Consider the following 22,694-nt stretch of genomic DNA (forward strand, 5'->3'; position numbering starts at 1 on the left):
ATGAACAAATGCACCCTTTCTCACCTCCCCACGAACACTGCACTTTCCCCACATCTGTCAGTGAGGAATGAACTAAGTGAGATGTACCAGCACCCATGGTTGCCTGTCTTCCCGATCATACGGTTTACATTTGCAGTTCAGCATCCAGTGCTGTGTGCTAGGTACATCCACAGCATCACAGTTTCATTTCATGCTGCTGACAACTGTTTAAACTTATCCTTTCTGGAGGGAGATGGGGAAAGGAAATTAGGCTCCACATTTGTACCAGTAAAAAGCTTCAAGAGAGATCCTGAGTGCAGCGGGCTGAGGATCACAGAAGTTGGCAGGCTCTAGGCCTGATGCTCATAGGGTGGTATCCCAGGGCTTCCTCTGACCCAGTCAGTAGGAACACCGCTCCAGGACCAGAGAATCCTAGAGGACAGGAGCCCAGGACCCGTGGGGGCCAGTCTCATAGCTCCTGCCTTTGGGATTTGTGGGAGGGTTTGCCTTATGGGATTCCATTCTCTGAGCTCCATCCATGTGGCCAGGCCCTATGCCCTTTTTGCCTGACTCATGCCTGAGCTTGGACACTAAACCAGACCTGCCCAGTGATGTCCCTGGCCAGCTTCTACAGGAGGACACATCCCCACATTGGGAGCAGGTCCCAGACTCAGGTCTTGCCCTTTCTCTGTCCCCACCAGCTCCAAGGGGCTGTGCACTTGGTAGGCTGTTGGAGTATCACACCAGATTCCAGAAGAGGGGCCAGGAGCGGGAGGATTATGCCCTGGGGCCATTCTCACCGGACTGTTGGAAACAGTCTTTGGTACCTGCTGAGAGAGCCAGTGCCAGCTGGGAAATCTGTGAGGTCTCCCTGAGGAAGCTTGTCCTAGAAACTGCAGTGAGGTGACTGTGCGGCAGGCCCACTCTCAACTCGAGGGGAGCCCCTCCTGCCTGCTGCAGGAGTGGGAGCGTGGGGCTAGCTGCCAGTGGGATGGCCCCAGCCGGAGGAGCTGGGCAGTGCAGCGAGGCGCCAGCTGTGCCTGACTCCTGAGGCCTTCTGCTCACCGGAAGGGGGGCAGGTCTGCAGCCCCTCCCCCACTGCAGGGCCAGGACAGGCCGTCCTGAGTGCTGGCCCTGAGGATCTAGACCCTTTGGATCCTATGTGCGGGGGACTTCCCAAGAGCTCCCGGCCCACGACTGAGTCACGCGGCTTCTTAGCAACTTAGTCAATCCAAACGTGGAGGTGATTGGCATATGTAAGAACCCCCTTTCCCGTTGGCGTGTATGGTGTCTTCTCGCTGAGCCACAGCACCTGGTTTAGGGCTACAAATAGTCTCCCCGAGGGAATGGGCTCATACGCCGGGTGGGCAAGGATTTCAAGTCGTCGGCACAAGAAGAGACACTATATTAAGGCCTGGTTATGTTTAGAAGCCGTCCAGAGAATGTTTGGCATGCTGAATATAAACTCATGCTTCCGTCTGCTGCCACACTTTAAGATTTCTCCCAGAGGGACCCAGAGTGTGGGGCGCCCTGGAGAAGGAGCTGGGAATGTCTCGGGGGAAAGGTTCCTTCCTCGGGAACTGGGTGGCATGGGAGAGTAGCTTCAAGCTTGCTCATGGCTGGACTTCCCAGACACAGGGTGGGGCTGTTGGATGTTACCCGTCATGTCAGCATTCAGAGCCCGGCAGGAAAAAGCCTCCTTCAAAGTGAACCCAATTCCTAAAGTCCTCCTTAATGGAATTCCTCTTAGAGGCAGGCATCGACTGGCTAACTGGTATGATACTTTGGAGTTCAGTTAGCCCAGAATGGTGAAGAAAATGGCTGTCACCCAAAACACACTGAATTGAAGGACGGTGGTGCCAGAAAAGACTGTGGGTTATCTTATCCAGCCCCTTCATCTATAACATGGGGAAACTGAGGCCTAATAGAGGATGGTGACCTGCTCTACTGATGGCATTCAGCACTACACCAAGGTCACGGGAGGGGTCTGCTCTAATAGCATGTTCCCATGGACTGGAAAACGTCAGAAGGGTAGAATACAATACAAACACCGTTAGGACTGAGATGTGGCCAGCATGAAGTCCCATGGTCCTGTGTGAGTGGAACCTTGGTGTGGAAAGTGGCCCCTGGCAGCGTTGGGACATAGAGCAGTTTGGGTGGGGTTCTAACTGGGTATGGAATTTCAACAGACTCGCAGGGAGATTCTCTAGTACTGTCTCAATTGGAATCATCGTTTTTTTTAAAGTTAAGAAGAAAAATGGAAGGGCTCAGGTGAAATAAACATTTTACAAGCAGATGCTTGCCTCTGCCAGCCTGGGGGCATTTTGAGTAGGGGCGCAGCATGCAAAGCAGAGAAGAGCTCCCACGTCTGCCCCCTGCCCTCCTCCCCTCTGGAATTTTAGCCCCTGCTTGGCATTGCCATGGGTGTGAAAGGTGGTGTCTGGACTCAGGAGGAAGGTACTGCAGAGGGTAGGAAGAGCTCTGCAGTGGTCCCACGGATCTGGCTTTAAACCAGGAGCTCTTGCGAGTCTGGAGCTACGTGAGTTCTCTGAGCCTCTGTTTCTTCATCTGCAGAATGGGGATAGGATGGTTGTATGGGAGGAACGCACCTTGCACAGTGTCTGGCACACAGCACCCTCCGAAAGGGGCTCTCCATGTACTAGGTGCTCAGGAAAGATTGCAATCTGACTAGGAGTTTTGAAATTTGTGATTTACTTAGTCTTGGGGAGGAAAGAAGAGTCGTTTTCCATGGATCAGTATGTGTAGATGTGGTTGCAGAGACAGTCAGAGAAAGAAATGGAGCCAGGACAAAGGGGTGGCCCCAGCATTCACGAAAGGTTTCAGAATTCCTTTTTGGGTTTTTGGCTATGACACCCCTCTTAGGAGTCATGTTTGTTCACTGTCTAGTGAGAAGGTGATCTTCTAGTAACCTCCTTTTGGGGGGCCTATAAGGAATTCCTTCTTGCTGTTCGTGCCTTCTCTCACAACACTAGTGTGAGACCAGAGACCCCACCTCACCTCCATCAGGTGAAGATCCAAAGCAGAGAGGAGTCCCTGACTGGACCTTCCCCAGGGGTGGGTTGTGATGAGATGAGTGATTATCAACACTGAGTGAGGGGTGGTCATGGGCCAGATGCTGCTGAAGCCTTTACTTCCTAGCAGCCTTGTTAGGTAGGAGACTGTGACTCTCCCATTTTACAGATGAGGAAGTTGAGGTAGTAAACAGTCATATAACTTGCCCAAGCACACACAAATAGTGATGTTGCTTTGATTTCAGCCAGACAGTCTGGCTCCAGAATCTGTCTCTTTCATCTCTAAGCCTTTTAAGTAGCAGAAAGAGAAAGATCAAGGGGGCAATGGGGCCTGAATGTGTCCACAATGATGGCAAACAGAAGAGGAAGTGTGCTGGGCTGCGGGGCCATTGATGCCCATGAACTGAAGAGCCCGAATGCCTGGATGATGAATGGCTGGTCACCCCCTCATATGGGCAGCAGAGGCTGTCTTCAGGCTCGGCGGCTCAGCTGCCATTGGCCTGAATGGAGTCCTCTTTTTTCCAAGCCCTTTCCCCTGGACAATTGCTGAGCTCTGCCCCCTTTCGCAGGCACCTCCCCATGTCGCAGGACACCAGAGTCTTCAGGTTGGAAGGACCCTGGAGGTCACCCTGTTTATTCTTCCACCTGACTCAGGAGTCCTTTGTAGCCTTCTTGGCAGGACCTGTCGAATCAAGCAAGGATGATGGAGAAGCCCTTGGATGTCCATCTAGTTGATAGAAAGTTCTTGTTCATAAACTCAAGCCGAAGGCTGCCCTGGAGCAGCTCCAGCCACTGGCCCTAGCCAGGCCCTCTGGTCTGTTCCCTCGGGCCCCTTCTGAAGGCAATTTCTGAGTGAACTGTTTCAGATACTCTAATGGAAGTTTCTTGGCCTTGGCCCTATTGACATTTGGGGATGGATAATTCTTTCTTGTCTGGGGCTGGCCTGTGCATGGTAGGATGTTTAGCAGTATCCCTGGCCTCTACCCACTGGGTACCAGTAGCAGTCACGCCGTACCCCCAGCTGTGATGACCAAAAATGTCTCCAGATACTGCCAAATGTCCCCTGGGGCGAAGGTGGCCGAAATCGCCTGGGTTGATCTGCTGTTCTAATTCTGCCTTGCCCAGTGCTCAGAGAGCAGCCCCCACCCCAGCCTCCGATGGCCATTGGCTGAAGCAAAACCATCTCCCTTCACCTGGCCTCTGCTGAAGCGGCCTGGAATAAACAAGGCAGCGGTCCCCAAGGCCACTTCCTGGCCCTGGAGGTGGTCTGGTTTCCTCAGTTGCCCTGTCAGCAATGGGTGGCATAGGGCCTGCCCCACCCTTCTGTCCTTCCTCTCCTCAAGGGTGGCTGATGCAGGAGTTGAGGGACCTTAGGGTCCAGGGCGTGGCTGGCAGTGGAGGGATGGGTTATTTCTAAGGTCTTTCCCACTTGTCCTTCCCCAGGGTGTGTCTGCAGTGATCTTCTCATTTGGTTGGTGTCTGCCATGCTGCAGAAGGGAAAACAGCATTGCACGCCTGTGTCCTGGCTTAGGGTCATGAGAGCGTGTTTCCTCCCATGTGGGTTCTGCAGGTGCTTCCTTGGGCTGCCCCTTTCCCTACCCCTACCCCTAAATACATGCCCACCACCTCTTCTGCACACCGTGGGTCTGGAAATTACCCAACAAGGAGACGGGAGCAAGGAAGAGACATCCCCAGGCTCTGGAAAGTCCTGAGGACAAAGCCAGGATTCCGGTCTTGTCAGGTTTTCTGTCTGCCCAGTGCAGAAGACCTTAGTAACCTGCCCTGTTATCTGTGTCCTGACTCAGAAATGTGTTGGTTGAAACGTCAGGCTTTCACCCAAAATGCAGCACAATCACCCTGTCCCTAGAGCCACAAAAATTCCCTTTCTCTGTTTCCAGTTTGTTCTGTAGCAGCTTGGTGTGAAGACAGACAGTCTAGAGCATCATCAGGTGAGATGCTCACCTAATGTCCCAGACCTGCACTGTGGGCCTTGGCAGAGGCACCGACTTGAAGACATTACTTTCTTCTCCCACTCTCCTGCTCATTTGACGAGGTCTCCTAGGCTGCCTAAGGTTGTCAGAAGGTCTGTATGGTGAGACCTCAATTGACAGGCCCTCTGAAAATACAGTTACCCTGTAATTAAATTCTTATGCTAAAAAAAGTCTTCATCAATCATACAAAATAAGCTGCCTGCATTTGATGTGTGTGGGTTGCAGGAAGATTTGGGGAAACGTGGTCGGGTTTGAAGACCTTCACAAGACATGCCAGGTGAATTCTGTGTCGCTGCTGTCATCCCGCCTTTTCCAGTAATGGCCTCCTTTCTTTATCTTGGTGGGGAGATGCTGGTTACCCCCAAGGATGCTGAAATTAGCACTGCATTATTTGTTGGGGGAAATAGACTCTGTGGACCGTTGAGTGTCTGGCAAAGAAAAATGAGTTCAGGACTAACCCTGACATACCTCTTGGTGGGGAGATGCTGGTTACCCCCAAGGATGCTGAATTAGCACTGCATTACTTGTTGGGGGAAATAGACTCTGTGGACCGTTGAGTGTCTGGCAAAGAAAAATGAGTTCAGGACTAACCCTGACCTACCTCTTTGTTGTGATATAGGATCTGAAAAGGCCCCTTTGACCTCCAGTGTTGCCAATCTGTAAGACTGGATAATGATGTCACACTGACTTTCTCAGAGCAGTGGCGAGGACCAAATCAGACTCTGCAAGACAAATGCAGTTTCAACTTATGAAGCATACACACAAGGGACTGATGGATTGTTATTGTGGAAGAAAAGGGGGGATTGTTATTTTAAGGAATCTTGTCCTTAAAGTAATCTTGGTTGAGCGCTCCACGTGCAAGGCAGTGTTCTGGGTGCTGGGGCGAGGTCACCTGTGGAATTGGCACCGAAGCAGGTCAGGTGGGAGGGAGTTTAGAGGAAGGCCACGTCACTCTGGTTGGGATGCTGGGGGCTGTTGTCCTGGAGAAAGTGGCCTCAGGCTGAGTCTGGCAGGTGGGTAGAATTTCCACAGGGAGAGATGCTGGCCTATGCAGAAGTTCTCACCCACCCTGCAAGTCTCCAAGGCCTGACTCACACAGCAGAGTGAGCCCCCCCTGGTGCTGGGAAATTCTGAAGCCCATGGGGACAACCTTGTCCCCCTGGCCGTGCTCTTATCCTCCCTACCTGTCCCATGCCAGGAGCGCTTCTATGCTGCTGCCTTGGAAGACTGTCCTAACAGGCGGCGCTGCCGCGCTCAGCACCTGGGCTGGGAAGAAGAGCACTTAGTTTGCCTCTTGGAGCCCTGGGGCTCCCTGCAGCAGGAGGTGGAGAGGGAGACGTGGAGGGTCTGCTTCCATCAAGTCAAGGTCCGAAGGGCCCCATGGAGGAGACGGGTCAGCAGCCTCTGCCCTTGGATTTGCCAAGTGCCCCCCATTGTGTTGGGGCTCAGGGAGAATACTCCAGTTTGGAGGGCTTCCTGGAGGAAGTGGAGCATGACCCGTGCCTCAATCTAGAGGAGATTTGAAGGGGAGGCTGTCTGGGGGTGGGAGAGACAGTGCAGGCCCAGGGCTGAGATGGCCAGAGCCTGTTTGTGGGATTCTGATGAGATGGCTTGGCTGAGGCAGAGCTGTGTGGGGAGAGGCAGGGGAAGGAGATCAGGGCGGCTGGGAGCACACCTTCTGGTCCCGAATGCTGGGCTGTGGTGCTGCACTGTCCTGCCATCAGCAGTGGGCCTTCTGTGTGTGGCAGGATGAGACGCTAGTCATGTTTGGGTGTGATTAATCTGGCCACTGTGTTCACACAGGTTAGAGGAAGGAGAATCTGGAGACAAATGCCTGCCCAGCGACCACTGCAGGGTCCCGGGAGCTGGGTGAAAGTGGCAGAGCTGGGAGGTTGCTCTGAAATGCTGATGGGGATGGAGTGGGGGCTGTCGGGAAGGACTGGATGGAGTCTGTTTTTCCAGAACCCCTTAACCCAGTGGAAGCCCCGCCTTTCATGTGGGCCCCGCACAGTTAGGCTGCCCGAGTCCCTCTGTCCTCGCACCCTCACCTGGCTCTCTTGCCTAAGCCTGTCACAGAAGCCCTGCAGAGCAGGAAACACAGAGCAGAAAGCCACGCACACAGCTTGTGTTTCCTCTGGCGCCTCTAGGTCGCTCTGCAGCCACCTGCTTGGAGTGGTGATAAGCCAAATCTTTCTTTAGAGGAGCGAAAACACAGCTAGCCAGGGCTGCAGCTATGACTGCAGCCTGTAGGGAAACGCCGGGAGGAACAGGAGACTGTTGAGAAGGGGACGGAGAACCTCACCAGCAGCTGAATTGAATTCCATCTTTGAGACCCAAGAGAGGGAAAATGCCTTTCCGCATGCATGCTCTCCTAGCTATGCTTGTAAGAAGTGCGTGCTTCTGGTTGGGAGAGCCCAGGAACGGAGTCCATCCTTTCTCCTGGCCTCCAGGGAGAGCCCAGACACTCCTGACCACAGACTGGCTTGTAATTTGGCTTTTCTGAGCATGGCAAGAGAATCCTGCATGTCACTTGGGCCTGACACCTGCTTTTGCCTTCTCCAGACACGGCAAGACTGGCCTTGACTTCTGGTTCCATTCTCGTTTCCCTGGGCTGCTCTCCACCTTCCAGGCTTAGCTGGAGTAACCATTTCAGAGCTGGTCGTTTCCCCGCAGCTTTAGATTCCATTTTGGTGAGGAAATTTACATTACCCAGGTGTGCACTTGGGCAGGCTGAGCGACCTGAGTGAAATGAAGCCAAATCCTGGAGGTGCAGGTGTGAGGATGGGTCTGGGTGTGGGGTGGGGTGGAGGGCTGAAGAAGGAGGCGTAACATTGTGTAAGGTTGGATATTAAACCTACTGCAGCAAAACCAACTCTGCCCGCTTCCCCGGGTATTTATCATGCTTACCTTCTACCGCACACACCGTCAGTGTGAACTATTGCATAGAAAAGGGTTTTCCAACATTGCCAGGTCAGAGCTGATTAAGCTTTCACTTAAGACCAAGAGTGGATTAAACTTTGGGATCTGCCCTCCTCCGGAGGGGGAGAAGCTGGCTGATGTTCACTGACATGTGGCTGCATGGCCACATCAGTTGTTAAATATTGAGAAACTTCAGCTGTCCTGTGTCCCTGAGTGCCCATCCCCCATCCAGGACCTCCCACCCCCCCACATTTCCTCAGTGGAAGGCTGCTCCCTGGACTCATTTCGGTTGGTGGGTGCCACCGTGGTTCAGTATTTTCAGAAGTTCACTGTAGCCTGCAGGTTATGCCAAGTCCCTTGACACTGGGTCCTCATATTTCCTGCTGCTGTATTTTTTCCTTATGAGATAGAAATGAGACTTGTCAAAACCCTACTGACTCTGTTAGGCCCAGCCCAAATGTCACTTTGTCTACTAAGACTGCCCTGGTCACCTGTTTCTTGGCCCACCTGACACTTGGTTTATACCTCTTTTATGGAAAATTATATTTAACTTCCTATTACAGCTATGGCTTGCAATGGGGGCGATTTTACCACCTGGGGACATTTGGCAGTGTGTGGAGACAGATTTGGTTTTCACAACTGAAAGGGGAGCTACTGGCATCTAGCGGGTAGAGGCCGGGGATGCTGCTGAAGAGCCTACAGTAGATGGGACAGCCCCACCCCAGAGAATGATCCAGCCCAATAAGTCAGCAGTGCTGAGCTGAGAGATCTACAAGCCTCCGTGTCTGTTCAGCTCCTTCCTGGGAGCTCCCAGAGGGCAGGACACAGCTGCTTGCATCTTGCCCCAACCCTCTCCTCCAGGCCCGCAACCCCCAGGAACCAGGGTGAGACATTGCATTTAGTTGGACACTCAATAAATGGGGCTGAATTGAATTCATTTAGTTAAATGGAATCAAATCGAATTGAACCTAAGCTGCCCTGCAGATCGTTAGGCAAATGCACCAATTACCTGGTGCAGTAGCTTAGTCTTTCCTTTGCTTCACAATCAAGAAGTGGCCTCCGTGACCTAGACTGGGGACTTAGGGATGAGAGTGAAAATTGAAAATGCTTGCAAGCTGTGGCCTTGAGTGGTTTCAGACACTTCTCATTTATTGTGCATCTTAATGACACAAGTAACTCTCTGACCTTCTTGTCTCAAAAGTGATGGGGCCAAAAACAGCCACTGCCCCAACTGTCTGTTGAGGAAGGTTGGAAAAGTGCAGGACTGTCCAGAGTCTATACTGAGAGGCAGTGTGGTATGGAGCTGAGCTCCTCAGTGTTCTCACATTGGAACCCACAGAGAAGATGCTCCCATCTGAACTGTATGCCCAGGAAAGGGGGCAGGCAGGCGGCTGGCTCAGGCGCTGCCCTTGGCCCCAAGGCTGTGGGAGCAGAGCCTGTCACACCAGCAGTGCATTAGGGGCACACTGTTTGTGTGAGCACTCTGGTGAGGCAGAAAAAACATGACCTGAAGAGGCAGATGACCTCTGTGTGGCCAGCCCCTTCACCAGCGCTAGCTGTCTGACCCTGACCTGTGGGCTTGCCCTCCTCTGTAAAGGGGAATAGAAATTCTTCCCTGCGTCCAGGCAGGGGCTGGACTTGGTCAGCTTACGTGCCTCTCCCCAAATATACTAAGTGCTCTATATGCATTGCTCCCCTCCCCTCCACCTGCATTCCCATTCCACAGATGAGGCCGCTGGGGCACAGAGAGATTGTGTTGCTTGCCCAGGGTCACACAGCTAGTATGCAATAATGACCGGTTTCAAACTCAGAGTCCATGCCTTGGCCGTTCTAGAGTGCTGCAGCATCCTTTCTGTCCACTTCTCAAAAATGCAGCCTCTGCCCATCCTTCCATCCTCCATGGGGTCTTGAAACTCAAGCCTGCTTTGCCTGGGTGTTTTTAAGCTATGCTTGCAATATGCGCAGTCATCTCTGGGCTTTTTATGTGTCACTCATTGATGAGAACCAAAACTGGACAAGATTAGAAGTGAGGCTTTCCTTCTTTCCAAGATTGGATTTTCTGTTCCACCCAGAACAACCTGCTGTTCCCCAGCTGCACGCCCTGGTTTCAAGTAGGTCTAAAATTACAAGAGAATCACCTTGCTCCAAGGAAGCTGGCATCTCTGTTTCCTGATGAAAGTAGGTACTAGAGAGTGGAGCTACCCAGAAACCAGGGGGTGGCATGTTGGCCATGTGGAGGCAAACAGAGCTGTGTTTTCTTTTCTTGGCCTTCTTAAAGATGTATCTAATTTGGGGCATGTTTTGTTTGGTTCATCTTGTATCTGGAGAGGTTCTTCTTTTCTCCCTAAGTGACATCCCTCTTGAGCCCACAATTCCCTCTTCTCAAGGTGAGTAATCCTCTCTCTAGCTGTTCATAATTGCTAATTAGTGAACAAAGAGGCTAACCAACAAAATTAGCTATTGGGCCAGGGTTTAGGATTGAACCAAAGGGTGGAGAAGGGCTTTAGTCTGCTTGTTTTTTATTTGTTTGGGTTTTTTTTCCTTAAAAAAAAAAAAAAAAAAGGAATCGGCCAGGCACAGTGGTTCACACCTGTAATCCCAGCACTTTGGGAGGCTGAGGCGGGTGGATCATCTCAGGTCAGCAGTTCGAGACCAGCCTGGCCAACATGCGGAAACCCCGTCTCTACTAAAAATACAAAAATTAGCCAGGCATGGTGGAGGGTGCCTGTAATCCCAGCTACTCAGGAGCCTGAGGCAGGAGAATAGCTTGAACCCAGGAGGTGGAGGTTACAGTGAGCTGAGATCATGCCATTGCTCTCCAGCTGGGCAACAAGAGTGAAACTCAGTCTCAAAAAAAAAAAAAAAAAAAAATCGCAACAAAACATACAGCCCTTCCCCACTGGTAATTTATCATAATCGTATCTAAAGTGTTCTTACCCAACATGTTCACCATTTGAGGAAAAGTTACTGATGATTCCTTATCTCATCAGCTATGGAGGCCTCAGAGGGGTTTTCCAAAGGAAATGCCTGACCTCAGCATAGGATGGAAGAAGGAGGTGCCGTTCTCCGGGAGGGTGTGTCCACCCCAGCCCATCTGCCACCAGGCTGGCCTAAAAGAAGCGGCGTCCTCCTGTGTGTGTGTGTGTGTGTGTGTGTGTGTGTGTGTGTGTGTGTGTGTGTGTGTGTGTCTCTTTGTCATCTTCAGCATATCCAGTGCAGAAAGAGATAGAGGCATTCATATTCAGCAAATGTTTCTTGGCATGTAATTACATCATCTCTTTAAAATCTCATTACAACCCTTTCCATTTATTGGACCAAGAGATTGAGGCTAAGATTTACAGACTTCCTCTGGGCCACACCTAGTAAGTGGCAGTAACAGGAATTAACTATACTCTCTAAAGTCAGTGGCCGTAGTGTTAGGAATTTACGACTAATAAATGCCAATTCTGTTGGGAAGACAAAAATTATCATATAAGAAAGGACTTGAAAGAAAGGAGAAGTGCTAAATGACGAGTTTCTAAGTGCACTAGGCTTTCTGGAAACTGCACAATCCAGGTTAACCGCAAGCGGTGGGCAGTTTGTGGGTGAGAGAACAGTGCGCACGCCCACATGGCTGTTCTGTGAGATCACCTCTTGGGAAATATTTAGAAACTGGTGCCCACTTTCCCAAGTTTCCAGCAAAGCCTACAGTCACTGTCCTCACTGGAGGTGCAGTCAGTGTTCTTCTGGGCCCCCGAGACTGGGAAGGCAGATTCTTACTCCATTTCTGTGCCTCTTCCACTGCCCTCTCTTCCCTCTGCTGCCTTCTCCCTTTCCTTCTGCTCTTTGTAGAAAATAGGTCTGCAGCAGCCACTGAACTTTGTCTCTCTTTGTTCTGCTCTTGGTCTTACTTCCCTTCTTTCTCCTTCCACCTCTCCTGGCTGATTTTTCATATCATCCCCATGAGAAAGCTTTTTGCCTTCCTTAAAAATCTTCTCAAAAGTGAATTTCTGCTTATGGTTTAAACAGATACCATTGTCAGCAGGGGTCAGTGATGACCCACCCATCTCCTACACTCCTTCCCTTTGCTCTCTGGTTCCCACATTCGATTCTGTTTCCTCCCACTTGCTCGGTCCTTCGGGTAGTCTCAGCTTGCCCTGATCTCTACCACGTGAATGGAGGGAAAGCTAAGCCGTCCTTCCTGGCTTTCCAGTGAGCCAGTGGGTGGACCTTCAGCCCATAGACTCACCTTCCTGCCTATGTGAGCATCCAGAAAACTTTTGGGGTGTGTTACCAAGGAGACAATGGAGTATTTATTGTACTACCTTCCTTAGACTTTCTTATGCAACCTGCCCTCTTTCCCGGATTGCTGTGATGCTGCAGGGAGGTTTCTTAAATTAATCTTGTCAAAATAGCCTTCGAATCCTTTTGGAGCAGGATTTTTTTTTTTTTTTTTAAATCTCACAAGACACAAACTGTTCAAGGGAAGAATTAGGAACAAAGACAACTTGGGGACTGGAGAGAACTTGGAGAGCATTTAGAGAAAAGCGGGGAAATGATTGATGGGTTGGAAAATAGGAGCATGGATGAATGGTGAGGGGAATGGAGATGATTTAACTGGGACAGAGAGGCTGACAGGTGACCTAGTAATAGGCTTCCAGTTTGTGGAGGGTTAGGACATGGAGACTGGCTTCCCACTACCAGGGAAGAAAAGACACTTAAAGTGGGAGGTAGGGGAGCCTGAGGCTACAGGAAGAACTCCTTATCACAGGGTCTGTTAATTATAGCAAGGCAGGATGGATCACAAGCTCTTCCACCAAGCAGTCTTCCCAGACGAGAGCAGCACTGGGACGGTGGTAGGGATTTCTGTAAGTCATCCAGTGCACAGCTTCCCGATCGCTTGTCCTCAGATAGTAGCGAGATGGCTGCCTCAGCATCTCCAGGGACACGTAGTAAAAAATACAATTTCGTGGGCCCTATCCAGACCTCCTGGTTTAGAGTTTCTGGGAGGAAAGTCCAGGTGTCTGTATTCTTAAAACACACACAAACACACCCCACCCCCCCCCACCCCCCCACCCCACACACACACACACACACCCCACCCCACCAGGACAAATGCAGAACTAACTCATTGAGAACCAAGAGGCTGGTGATGTGAGGAAAGAGGAAATGCCTCCCCCGGATTCCTCAGGTTGCTGCCTGCAGCATCCCGCTAGATCTTCCACTGCCCGGGAGCTGCTCAGGAGCCCAGGCCACACCTGCCCTGGTGGCTCCGTCCAGCATCCCTGCTGGGTCACTTGGAATGGACGCTGGGGCATCAAAGCTGCCCTACAGCTCTGAAGAACCCCTGCGTCTCTCCCTAATGACAAGGGTGCTGGGAAAAATGCTCATTCCATGTTTTTATCTGGACTTCACCAGCAGTCACTGAAGTCTTAGGTCACAGTTCTGTGGAGTTTTCCAACGGGTCCCTCAGACACCACCGCTGCCCCACAGGGGCTAGAATGGAATGAGCTTGGGAGTCAAGAGATGTATCTGCCTTGAGCTTGAGCAGGTCATTTTACCTCTCCCCGTTGCAGTTTCTTTCTCTGGAAAAGGAGACACCCGGACTGGACAGTCTCTGAGGTCCATCCAGCTCTACCTTTCTGTCTCTACTGGCTGTTTGAAGAATTGCAATGCTCGAAGAGTATAAAGTAGATTCAGTGTAATATTTCGTAGTGAAGTATTTTAAATTCAATGTTTTTTTTTTCTTTGCATAACTTATCCTAGGGAAGTTGGGAAGGATGAGGAAAAATATACGAATCCACTCGTCTCCAGCTAGCTCAGCTTGTGTGTAGGCCTGCCGTTCACCACACACGACCATGCGCAAGCTCTCTGGTCCCTTGGTGGCAGCATACCAAACTACAGATTCTGTTCTTTGGCCTCAGAACAGTCTTGTGTATGTTTTAAATGTGTAGCTTGGAATCAACGAGTATTTTTCATGGGGAGACTAGGAAGGTTGGGGGGCTGGGATCATTATTTCACACACTTATTTGCTTGTTTCTTGCTGAATTCCAGATTGCGGTGGTACTTTAAAAAAAAAAAAAGCTCCAATATCAATTTTAATTTTGCTTCTAACCTTTTGGACCAGCCACACCCTGACACTTAAAAAATAATAATGAAATGTTAGTATAAGAAAAATTGCTAGCTGACTATCCCAGCCTTCCTCCTTAGTAACTAAACCTGATTTGGGGCACATTGCTACCTAGACTGTAATAGACTTTCCAGTGTCCTGCATGGCCAGGTGAGCTCTGGACGATGATAGAGATAAACTAAATTACTGTAGGCTATAATTTAAGGAAGCCTCCTTTAAAAAAGTAAGGAAAGGATCCTTTTTTCCTTTCTCCCTTCCTCCCTTCATTTCTCCTTCCCTCCCTTCTGCCTCCCTCCCTCCTTCCCAGGGTGCAGTTGTAATGGCTGGAGTTCTAGCAGCCACTTTGGACCATAAGATGGAAGCCAAGCATTGAGGATGGCAAAGCAGAAAGCTGAAAGCCTGGGACAGGATGACCATGGGGCTGCCATCCCATCCCAGGACTGTCTCCCTTCAGACATCTTTTATGTGAGAGAAAAATAAAGCCACTATTATCTTTTGTTTTATTTATGCAGCTGCACCAAATTCTAATGAATCCATATAAGTTCCAGGTGAGCTGGCTTAGATGGTGAGAACCAAGGTCAAAGGCAAAGGGTAGCCCTGATAAGCAAATGCCACTGCTGAGTTGCTCAGAGCAGTAGACTTTTGCTATAACATAGCACAGGAAAGGAGAGATTTTGGAGACAGATGGAGTGTGACGTCGAGCTCTGCCTGAGACCGACTGTGATCTTGATCAACTGATTGTCTTGAGTCTGGATTTCCTAATTTGTAAATTAGAGTAATAATCTCCACCCCGCAGGCCATTCATTGGCATTAGACATCGTATGTATTAGGTGTCTTGTTTAGTACCTAGCACACAGCTGGTGCTTAAAAATAGTGGCTCTGTGTGTACATAGGCACATGGTATGTCCCCCTGGCCACAGACACTGTGCTATGCGCTGGGGACATACAGAGGCATACGGTGTAGCCCCAGCTCTGAGGGGGCGTGAAGGCCACTGGGACATCTCCAGTGTTGTAGCATGGGGCCCAGGTATGCAGCCTGTGTGTGCCTTCATGCTGTGATGCAGGCTTGGGAATGCATCCCAAGCCTGTGTACAGTGCCAGAGATTGAAGGATCCCATCTTAGACTGGCACTTCTTGGCCTTCACTCACGTGGGCCTGTGGCTCGGGATACTTCCCTTCTCCTTTACTCCTTCTGAATCCTACATGTTTTTGTGGCACGCGGAAGTCCTTCCTCCCCCATAGACCCACCCAACCTAGTCTAGCTAATCCTCAACATTGCACTGAGCTTATTTCAAGACCACACAGTTCAAGACAACACTTGTTCTCCTGCTGGGGTGCATGTGTGTCCTCTCCAGCTGGACCATAATCCTCCTGAAAGCAGAGCCCCGTTCTGATCGTTCCTTTAGTGTGGAAGGCACAGTAGGCACTCAGTGTTTTGATGGAGAAAGCTGAGTTTTACAGTTAAGAATATTTTTTTCTGCGAGGGCTCAGATCAGGCCTACAGCCCTCTCTCTCCTGTGGCTGCAGACTGTAATGAGGGAGAATGGAAAGAGAGCAGGGAGGGATGGCTCAGCCCCAGGTGCACACATGGCCCAGCCCAGATTCTAGGCCCAGCGGGCATCAGGACAGCTGTGCCAGGCAGACACAGGAGAGCCTTCCTCTGACCCAGGTGTGAACTGGATGATAAAAGATGGTTTCTCACCCTAAGGAAATCTCTACATAAAAGAAGTTCCCTCATCAAAATCCTCCCAGTGGCCGTAACAGGCTGTTAGTCACATGCAATAATGGCCTGGGGTGAGTAGGTATCAGGCAGCTGGGCTGAACTGCCTCCTTCCATCAGGAGTGAGCTCTTGCACTCCCACATGGTCACAGTATGGCCCTCCAGAGGAACACTCCCCTCACCCAAGAGCCAGTCCTGCATCCTCTTGTCCCAGTTGTGCCCTTTCCCTGGCTGACCATAGCATTGTCTGCTCTTGGAGGTTCCCCGTAAGGAGACAAGCTACCTTGGATGGCTTCCTGATCAGGGGCCTGCTTCTCCCTGGAAACCCACCTTGTCTCATCTCATAATATACTGAGGAGGATCTTGGAAACCACTAAAATGATCATTCTTCCCCTCTCCATATCATTTCTATATTCCTGCTTTTGGAAACTCCACATCATTTTGACCTGGCTCAACCAATTAGGTAGTCCACTCCAAATAAGTTACCAACCCGTACTCACAAAACCACTTTCAGCTGTCGGAGGAGAGGTGGCTATCTGGCGCTGTTTGCAGATGTCTTTCTCTTCTGTTCTTGTTGAATCCTTCCCCAGTTTGCTGGGGTTCCCAGTGGGGGAGTGCTTCCACAGTGCCCACCCCACCCCAGCCTCTGCCTCTCCCCACCCTTCCTGCTTCCTGTTTTCTAGAGCTTTTTTCTTTCTTTCCCCTGAAGGTGATCTCTGTATAAGAATAGCCACAATATGTGTGTGGGAGGTTTAGCAACATAACCTGGAAGATCTCTTACAGCCTCTGGAGTCTTGATTTCCTTGAGTGTCTTGGACTGGATAATGGTGTGTATTAAGGTTTGGGGTAGGGGGACGGTAAAGAATACCTCTGCTTCTTCTTGGACCTGTCAGTGAAGCACAGTTTGGAAGGGAGAAGGCTGGGGATGTTCAAATAGTAGGCAGACCCCCTGAACAACAGTAGCAGGTGTGGTCCAAACTTACTGGCCGGCCTGCAGGCCAGGAGGCCAGTGCCATCATCCCCTCGTGCCTGGTGACGATCAGCCCTTAGAGCTTTGAGTGCCAGTTTAGCAGAGAGGGTGGACTGATCCCTGGTCTTCTCCAAGGACAGCCTAACTCATCAGTCAGCATCCCAGCCCCAGACCAGCCCCAAGGTCCACTGCATCTGATGTGAGTCTTCAGACCTAAACGAGAGGTGAGGCCGGAGTGAAGGCCCACACTCTCCTTTTAGTTCTCTTTTTTTTCTCCATTATTGGCATGATTTTGACAGTCTCTAGGTGAATGCCTATAAGGACAAAGGAAATAAATTTAAAATGTGAATGCAATAGGGAAAATGCAATTTTTACAGGCGTCTCTGAGAGTTGGTTTTCACTTTAAGACCTGGCAGTGGCAGTAAAAGTGCACACCTTGTTTGAAAGGTGCAGTGCCAGTGGGAGAGGCTGGGAGTGGACCAGACATCTATGAAATCCACACTGTTGTAGAAACCTGTAAACCCGGTGTGGCGGCCCAGTGCAGAGACTTAGGATACAAAGAGAGAGGAACTTAAGTTATGTTGTGGAAATGTGACTTCTTAATACCGTTCAGAAAATAGGTACAGAGGCAACAGTCCCAATCTTCTGCTAGAAATTTCACTCGGCTAAAAGCAGAACGTTTAAATACACTCTTGCCATGGGCTGCTGAGAGGTCCAGCTCTCAAGAAGTGGGAGCAGCTCTAGGGATGGCCACGCTGGGCTCACTTCCGAGAAAGAGGAAGAGTTAGTTGGGGTGAGGAAATCATGGAGGAGAAAGACCAGTCATTTCGGGGCTCCTCGTCCTGAAAGCAGAGACTGCCGTACAGAACTCAGCCCACGGAGGTCAGCCACAGACACCTCAGGAAGCACAAAGAAGAGAACGATCTTGTGATTCCAGGAGAGTCTCTGAAAAGAAGGTAGTTCAAGAAGAGTAGAACAAGCAGGGGCTTGCAGAGAATGAGAATACCACATGGGCCTCTGCGGTGAATTTAAGGCAAGAAGGAGAATGAGGAAGCAACAGCCCCTGCCTGTGAGTGGCCTACAGGCTAGAAACAGAACAGCAGACGCTGCCACAAAGGAATTGACCCAATGCATTTACAAAGCATTCCAGTCTTTCTTGTCCAGCTTTATCCCAAGTAGTGGAAGAACCTCCTGATACTTTCTTAAAGCTTCTGACAGTGATCTCTGTGAAATTATGGAGCGTGTGTAGGGGCCAGAGAAGCGAAACATTTTGATTTTCTACAGCTAGGAGGCTGTAGGAGAGTAAGCTCGATGTTAATTCCTGGAAGACTCTTAGGGTATATTCTTTAAACAATAGTGTGTGTGCTTTCAAAAGAAATCGGTAATTTTAGGAACATGGCAAATTAACTGAACTTTCTTTTATTGTAGGTCTACTAGGTTTAGATCAAAAGAATACCGAAGATAGTGTTGATTTTATTAAGGCACTGAGGGGCATCTATCATGATTTCTTTTGAAAAATATGGAGAAATATGTTAATAATTGTTAGGCCAACACTGGCCCAAAAATGCAGATTAACAGATTGATGTCAGTTTGGAGGGAGGACTTCAGTTCATTGTCATGGGGCTCAGGCCTAGTCAGCATGTCTACCACTGGCCTTCATGAAATTGCAAAATAGAAACTTAACGAATTTGTTGAAGACACAAAGTTGGGAGAGATGACTAATGCCATATAAATAATGCATAGAAAACAATATTTTTAAAATCCATGCTGGTTTTTAATTTAACATGACAGGAGACCAAATATGCTTGATATACTTCCTAAGAACATATAAATAAAGTACCATAAATATGCCAACAAGTTTGAAACTTCCAATCACATTGTAAATCAAGGGGCGCTAAAGAGCAAGTGGAATTCCTACCAGTGGGAATGGGTGAATTGAGAGGCATTTTTCTGGCCTGCACTCCACGTGTCTATCCACTGACAGACCCAAAGAGCTGGATTGTTGAATAAGATGTGATTCAGGCAGAAAAATATGAAGACATATGAAAATATGCAAGGTCTCAGAAAATAAAGCATACATGTCCTCCTCCAGAGACAATGAATCAATTAATTTTTAATGTTCCAAGTGATTGAGATGAATGAAAATCCAGGACCCCAGCATAGTATAAAATGGACCAATGGTGAATTGAAACCAATTAAATAGAGCTGAGGCATCCTGAGCAAGAGCACAAGCTCTGGGAGCTGCAAATGAGCCTCACCCCTGCCACTTACTAATTGTGGGACTGTGCGAGAGTTATTTAACCTTTCTGAACTTCACTGAACAGGTGTGATTTCTGTGAGGATTAAATAGAAAATGTAGGTAAAGTGCCCAAAATTACAACTCTTATCAACTTTATTAGTATTATTTATAAAAATAACTATGTTAACTATAGTTACAAAATAAAAATTAGAATTTAGTTTTAAAAATAATATTTTGAGAAATAACAATATAAGAAATTGCCTATATAATACAAGACTAAATTGGTAATGACAAGGAAATATTGGGTGCTGGAGGGAAGCAGGTGTTACATGTATTTTAAAACTTACTTGTGTTAATGAAGGGAACCATGAGTTAAAGTTTTGTTTTGAACTTTGTAAATTATAGAAGTTTAATTTGCAAATGCTTTTAATACGTATAAAGGTTAAAAATCCGGGTTTCAACTTTCAAAAACTCAAGATAAAACAAAAGTATACTCTATGACAGCAGTCCCCAACCTTTTTGGCAGCAGGGACCATTTATTAGTCTGTTCTCACACTGTTATAAAGAACTACCTGAGACTTAGTAATTTATGAAGAAAAGAGGTTTAATTGACTCACAGTTCCACAGGCTGTACAGGAAGCATGGCCTGGAAGCCTCAGGAAATTTACAATCATGGCAGAAGGCAAAGGGGAAGCAGGCATGTTTTATCACAGCAAAGCAGGGGAGACAGAGAGAGAGCGCATGCACAAAGGGGAAAGTGCTACACACTTTCAAACAACTAGATCTTGTGAGAACTCACTTACTGTCATGAGAACAGTAAGGGGAAGTCCGCCCCATGATTCAGTAATGTCCCACCAGGCCCCTCCACCGACATGTGGGGATTCCAATTTGAGATGAGATTTGGGTGGGTACACAGAGCCAAACCATATCACACCAGTCTCATGGAAGATAATTTTTCCACTGACTGAAGGGATGGGGGCAGGGTTTTGGGATGAAGCTGTTCCACCTCAGATCATCAGGCATTAGATTCTCATAAAGAGCATGCAACCTAGATCTCTCACATGCGCAGTTCACAATAGTGCTCGAGCTCTTATGAGAATCTAATGCTGAGAGGAGGCAGAACTCAGGGAGTCATGCTTGCTCACCTGTAGCTCACCTGCTGCACAGCCGGTTCCTAACAGGTCATGGACCGGTACCGGTCCGCCATTGTGGGGACTGGGGACTCCTGCTCTATGAAACAAAAAATGAGAAAGTAAACACACAGATATCCAGAAGCATAAAACAAAATGACAGAAGTAGGGTTGAACGTTTAACTATGCTAAAATATGTAAGTGGGTTAAACACTCTTATTATTAAAAGTATAAGACTTACAGATGTTGGTTAAAACAGAAAATGTATCCATATTCTGTACAGGAGACACTAAAACAAAGTGTTGCAAAAAGGCTAAAAGTTTAATTAATTAATTAGGAAACAGTATCAGAATAGATTTACAATATAAAGCAGCTGGTGCTATAAAATACAAAATTTAATTAATTTACCTCTGGAAATTTAGAAATAAAAAAGAGCAAAAATTAATAAGGAAACATAATAGCATAAGAGAATGAATGCTATTCATAGTGGTATGCTAAGAAATTTGAAAATCTTAATTGTAACTTTCTAGAAAAATATAAATTTCAACTTTAGATAATTTTTTTCAAAATACAGAAGAACATTAAAGTTAAAAATTTATTTAATAAAATTAGCATTATCTTGACAAAGATGTCACCAAAAAAGTCTTAGAATAATCTTATATATGTACACAGATGAAAAAAGAAAAATGAAATAAAATTGAATCCATTGGATTCACAGTTAGGTAAGACACAGCCAATGAATTCAAGGACTATTCAATGCTGGGAAATTTAATACTATAATATATCACATTGGTAAGTCAACTAAAAAATGCAGCATGCAATAAAACTCAATATCCATTTTAAATACAACTCTTAAAATACTAGGAATAGAATGACAGCTAATATGATAAAGAATGTATCTCAAACTAACAGCAAACATTTAGTGATGATGTCCTGGAAGCATTTCCTTTAAAATCAAGAACAAGAAAGGAACGTGCACTAGAACCATTGCCAGTCAGCGTTGTGAAAGGTCGAGGGGCTACAACAAAGCAGGACGTGGAAAGGAAGAGAGAAAATTATCAATATTTGCAAATGGTGTGATTATAGTCCTAGAAAATCTAACTGAAAATAGTTAGCATTAATAAAAGGGCCCCAGAAACGTGACTGGATATGACATAAATAGTTTAATAATCAGTAGTTTTTATGTACCAAAAATGACCATCTGGAAAATAAAATGGAAAAGAATTCCTATTTACAACAATTACAAAACTTTTAAAATGTGCTTAGGGAAAATATTCTAAACACATGGGACTGTATGACAAAATTAAATTTAACTAAAAGATATAGAAGAACAGTTAGAATAAATGAAAGCATGTCGTATTTCTATAGGAAAGATTGAATATCTGAAGATGCCAAATCTTTCCAAATTAATTCATGAGTTTAAGAAGAACCCTAATCAACAGCCCAGGGTGTATTTTCTTTGTTTATATTTTGGTTTGGGCATTGTTTGTTGTTTTGGTGGGGAGTGGAAAGGAGAGTGCTTAGAAAAATAATTCTAGAATTTATCTGGAAAAATAACCAGACCAAATTTACCAAGAAAGATATGTCATGAGCACAGTGAGGAAAGGATAAGAGACGGCATTCCTACAGATGAACAGAATGGTGCGGGTAAAGGAATCCACGGACAGAGCTGTGTGAAACAAACAACCAGGAAACAGCCTCTAGTAATGATATTTGTTGGGGCATAAAATAAAATTTTTAAAAATAAATGTGTCCAAAATAACCTTGTATTCAACAGCACCATTTTAAAAGTAGAAGGCCAGAGCCATAAAATAATGCATCAGTCAAAGGCAGAAGAAAATTTGCATCCTCCTATGTGTCTCCAAAGTAGCATATACTGTGTACTAGAAAACAAAATCTGTTTTCCCTTACAAAACCAGTTTAAAATTCCCCTCAATTTATGTATGGTAAAAATAACTTTAAGGTGCTTCTCTAAAAAATGAAACTAATATGCAGTGCATCTGTGGCTCATGAGAACCTACTATATGGTAAAGGAAGCAAAGAAGTTTTAAGGAAGGTGGGCGAGGGCAGGGACTGGATTGGTAAGTATTTGGAAATAAAATAACTTTACATACCTTTTTTTTTTTTTGAGACAAAGTCTCGCTCTGTTGCCCAGGCTGGAGTGCAGTGGCGCAATCTTGGCTCACTGCATCCCCCACCTCCCGGGTTCAAGCGATTCTCCTACCTCAGCCTTCCGAGTTGCTGGGATTACAGGCACATGCCACTGCAACCAGCTAATTTTTTTTTTGTATTTTTAGTAGAGTCAGGGTTTCACCATGTTGGCCAGGCTGGTCTTGAACTCCTGACCTCAGGTGATCCTCCCGCCTTGGCCTCCCAAAGTGCTGGGATTACAGGTGTGAGCCACCACGCCCAGCCTACATACCTATCTTATACATTTAGACAAAGCAAATTACAGGTGGATTCAAATAGTTAAATGAAAGAAAATAAACCATAAGACTTGGGGGAAAAAGACTATTTAACTGCCTCCAGAATTATGGAAGACTTTATAAACATGAAAGTAATGGAGGAAGGCACAAAAGAAAAGACTGAGATTCAACTCATAAAA

General features: G+C 47.5%; 1 protein-coding gene across 55 annotated transcripts in view, besides 4 other annotated features; it reads left to right on the plus strand.

Moving 5' to 3' along the window:
- The window catches only part of CACNA1C (calcium voltage-gated channel subunit alpha1 C), a 727,171-nt gene that overhangs the window by 376,420 nt on the left and 328,057 nt on the right, over nucleotides 1–22,694 (plus strand). The window lies entirely within an intron of this gene.
- Nucleotides 474–981: an enhancer, noted in NCBI's record as "H3K4me1 hESC enhancer chr12:2456839-2457346 (GRCh37/hg19 assembly coordinates)". NCBI's record gives its function as "activates a minimal SCP1, AML or CMV promoter by ChIP-STARR-seq in primed H9 embryonic stem cells {active_cell/tissue: H9 hESC(primed)}" and the evidence as "EXISTENCE:reporter gene assay evidence [ECO:0000049][PMID:30033119]".
- Nucleotides 4,146–4,646: an enhancer, noted in NCBI's record as "H3K4me1 hESC enhancer chr12:2460511-2461011 (GRCh37/hg19 assembly coordinates)". NCBI's record gives its function as "activates a minimal SCP1, AML or CMV promoter by ChIP-STARR-seq in naive H9 embryonic stem cells {active_cell/tissue: H9 hESC(naive)}" and the evidence as "EXISTENCE:reporter gene assay evidence [ECO:0000049][PMID:30033119]".
- Nucleotides 6,003–6,599: an enhancer, noted in NCBI's record as "H3K4me1 hESC enhancer chr12:2462368-2462964 (GRCh37/hg19 assembly coordinates)". NCBI's record gives its function as "activates a minimal SCP1, AML or CMV promoter by ChIP-STARR-seq in primed H9 embryonic stem cells {active_cell/tissue: H9 hESC(primed)}" and the evidence as "EXISTENCE:reporter gene assay evidence [ECO:0000049][PMID:30033119]".
- Nucleotides 6,600–7,194: an enhancer, noted in NCBI's record as "H3K4me1 hESC enhancer chr12:2462965-2463559 (GRCh37/hg19 assembly coordinates)". NCBI's record gives its function as "activates a minimal SCP1, AML or CMV promoter by ChIP-STARR-seq in primed H9 embryonic stem cells {active_cell/tissue: H9 hESC(primed)}" and the evidence as "EXISTENCE:reporter gene assay evidence [ECO:0000049][PMID:30033119]".

This window comes from Homo sapiens, chromosome 12 (genome assembly GCF_000001405.40).
Source record: "Homo sapiens chromosome 12, GRCh38.p14 Primary Assembly".
In the NCBI taxonomy this organism is placed as follows: domain Eukaryota; kingdom Metazoa; phylum Chordata; class Mammalia; order Primates; family Hominidae; genus Homo; species Homo sapiens.